At 54.0% G+C, this 3,642-nt stretch overlaps 1 annotated feature.

The window, feature by feature from the left end:
* Positions 1,466–2,037: an enhancer, noted in NCBI's record as "H3K4me1 hESC enhancer chr8:144033761-144034332 (GRCh37/hg19 assembly coordinates)". NCBI's record gives its function as "activates a minimal SCP1, AML or CMV promoter by ChIP-STARR-seq in naive H9 embryonic stem cells {active_cell/tissue: H9 hESC(naive)}" and the evidence as "EXISTENCE:reporter gene assay evidence [ECO:0000049][PMID:30033119]".

The raw sequence follows: 3,642 nt of genomic DNA on the forward strand, positions 1-3,642 counted from the left end.
GGGGTTTGATAACCACCACAATGTGCTGAGCCCGGGAATGACATGAATGACTTACCCAGAATCACGAGTCTCCCAACCCCATCCCATACTTGCATCCCTGCTGGCTGTTTGATGTCTCCAGACTTTCACTATTTCTGTCCTGTTCTAGCTCCGTGACCTGTCATAACCCACCTGTTTGCCGCCTTTATACTCTTTCTTTTGCCCTTCTGCCTCAACTCAGGACACTCTTCCCAGCAACCTGCACCCCTTTTCCTCTTGTATGTCTTTCCCTGGAGACACCACTGTAGTTTGCAGAGCATCGCCTGCTCTTTGGCTGTGACTCCACGAAGTGGGTAGTGTCAGACAGGTTCCATCCGTAATGTTCACCTTTCCCCGACTCTTTTTGAAGACTACTTATGCCCCCTGTATGTCCCAAAGACTTGGCCGCTTAGCTGCTCTCTTTGCCCTGAGGCTTTCCTTACCAAAACCTGCATCCCCACATCATGTATTAAGAAGAACACCCAAATTAGCCAAACATCCCTGCACCCCTTTGATTCCTTATCTCCTTCTCTCTACATCCAGTTGGTCTCTCAAGTTCTGCCCACCCAGAATCACCCCTGTATGCTCTGTTCCTGCTGCCTCATCTCAATGCAGGCTTTGCCCCAGCCAGTGATGCCAGCTACTTCCATTGCACTGCACCACCATTTCCCCTGCTGCAGACGCTGACCCTCCAAGCCACACTCGCTCATGCCACTCTTGGCTCAAAGCCTTCCCTGGTGCTCCATTTCCCACTAAAGAAGGTCAAACTCTAGTCACACTGCATGCTTTGAGGTCATCATCCCTTTGCTCTGTGACTAGAGATGAAAACCCAAATCCAGAGTACTGGTTCTAATCCCAGCTCTGCCACTTGCTAGCTGTGTGACCTTGGGAAAGCTATTTAACTTCCCTGTGCCTCAACGTCCTTATCTGTAATTTGGGCCTCATAATAGCACCTACCTCATAAGGTATGGGGGAGGATCAGGCAGGTTTAATACACACAAATCCTTTAAAGTTGTACCTGGTGCCTGGCACGCACTAGGTAAGTGTTTACCATTTTCATCATCAGAGCTCAAGCTCTCTGTCTGGCTCAGGTTTATTTTGAGGATGTCAAGGGCCACATTCTCACTGACCCCCTTGGTGGTGGGAAGGTGAGGGTGGGTTGTCTTCCTGGACCTCCCCTTTTCCAGGCTGGGCCAGCAGCTGCTCCATGTTCCCAGCACTTGGCTCAGATCATGGTGTTGCAGCATCATGATCTGGGCAGGTTTCTGCCTCCTCCCCTGGACCACAGGCTCTGGCCCAGCCCATCCAAGGCTCTCAGGCCCCACACATGCACCCTACGGGTGAGTGCTTTCAGCCTGATGCACTGGAGTCTTCCAACAGCATGGCCAAGCAGCGTCAGAGTTTTCGTGGTGGTGATGGCAATGCACAGCCTTGGCCCCTGAGTCACCCCAGCGGCTGGTGAGTCACAGCCTCTCCACAGGGCCAGCTGGGCCTTGAGCTCAGTAGCCCTGGCTGCACCCTACCTTATTTCTCAGGCTCCCAGCCATGCACCTGGCTGTGAGCACACACTCAGGGGACTCTGGACCCTGGCGATGCCATAGAAGAGTCAGGCCAGGCAGTGGGGCCGTTGACACGGGCAGTAGGATCCGTCCCTTTCCCTGTGGCTGAGGGGGTGGCTGGGGGTGGAGAGTGAGAGGCAGCCATGAGACGACTGCCCAAGGGCCCTGAAGCCGCGGCAGCACACCCCATGCCTCAGCTTCTCCTGCACAGTTAGGAAGCTCTTCTCTGTCTCTCCCCTGGGAGCCACCATCCCCCAGGTTCCCCTCTACTCCCAGTCGCCCATCCAGACACCCCTGAGCTTCCTAGAGCTCTAACCATCTTCTCCACAGTCCGGTCCCATTGCCTAGAAGTGGAAGGGCATGCAGAGGCTGAAAAGCAGAATGATGGGGCACCAGCCAGTGCTCCAGCCCCGGCACAGGCACTCGCTGTCTATGTGCTTTCTCTGCCTCTGTTTCCTCATCTGCAAAATGACAGCGTCTCTATTTTGATGCTCGTTGTGAGGAACAACGAGATATTTATAAAGCCCTTAGAACAAAGCCTGGCTCAGTCAGTGCTAGAGACGTGTTAATTACTATGATATGATTGTACCCTAAGTCCTCCTATAGACGTTCCTCTCTTTTTCTTCCCTGCCTGCCTGCTCTGTCTCTTCTCTCCTCACCTCTCCTTCCCTCGCTTCTCACTCTCCCTGCATCCCCTGCTAAGCCCCTCCCCTTCCTGTCACCCCCAGTCCCTTGTCGCTTCCCTCCGCCATCTTGGCCTCCAACTCTCCCTCCCAAGATGTGTCCCAGGATCATTCCCTCCAGGGTGTTGCCCAACCACCTTCAACCAAAGCAGCTATAATTTTCTCCTGCTCCAAGCCGCATGCCCTCGGCACCTCGCCATGGACCCGACTGTCAGCCAAGACCCTCTGGTGCCACAGCCCCACAGGCTACAGGGGATGTGCCGGCCCTGAATCCACCTCATGACCCACCTGTCCCCTCCCCACCCCTGCTGCCTCTGCCCAGGCTCAGGCCCCTCCATCTCTGTTCGGACCAGGTCCCAGTCTACCCTGGTCTCCTTGCCTACCCCACCCACTCCCCTCCCATCCCAGGCTGCAGGGCACCTCTGGCCACTTGGCTGCCATGCTCAGCTGCAAAGGCCCTTCCCATCAGTCATGAGCACCAGATGCCGTTGTCTTCAGTCACACATCCGGGGCCCTCGAGGACCCGGCTTCTCTCTGTCTTTATGCATGTTTTGAATGCGTTGTTTTTGCTGCCCCAGTTTGTGTTTTTCGCCACTTAAAAGTGAAGCATAACACCTGAGCAGATGGTGCCTGCAACGCCCTTACCTCAAGTGTGTAGTTCCCTTAATTCTTGCACACGAATATGTAAGGTCAGCCGAGAGAAAGGACAAGAGAGAGAGAGACCCAAGTTCAGGCAAGTAAGTTTATTGAACCTGCCGGCTGCTCCATTACAGACAGACGAGGCAGCCCTGAGCTTATGATATGGGGGAGAGAGACCCTGGGGTGTTTGTTGGTTAACTCTGCCACATATCACCTTGTGACGTTTATGCTACCAGAGGGTGTAGGCAAAGTTTGTTTGTGCTTCCCACGACCTCCCCCTGTGCGGTCCCAATGGTTTGTAATTGGGATTTGCTTTATAGCAGCAAGGTCTGATAGGTAAAGTCTGCTGGCTTCACCATGGCGTCTAGATAAGGGCTTAGAAATGTAGAGGCTTGGGGCAGCACAGAGAGGAGTTGCAGAGTGCAGAGGGGCGGGCAGCACCAAGAAGCTGCTTGGGGCAGTTTGTCCCTAACAGTATACACCTATGCGACCACTCCTAGGTTCCCTTGCGCCACCCCCACCTGGAGTAACCACCCTTCTGACTTCCATGGCTAGCTGACAGTCTTTTCTGCTTCTGACTTTTATATCAGTGGAATCACACAGGGTGCCCTCTGTCACATGCTCAGCGTCCTCTCTACAGGGTGCATCCACGCTGACGTGCGTGTCGGTACCGTGTTCTTTTTCTGTTGCCGAGTAGCATTCCATTTGATGAATATCCACAACTTATTATCTTGTCTTCTGTC

The sequence above is a fragment of the Homo sapiens genome, chromosome 8 (genome assembly GCF_000001405.40).
Source record: "Homo sapiens chromosome 8, GRCh38.p14 Primary Assembly".
Lineage (NCBI taxonomy): Eukaryota > Metazoa > Chordata > Mammalia > Primates > Hominidae > Homo > Homo sapiens.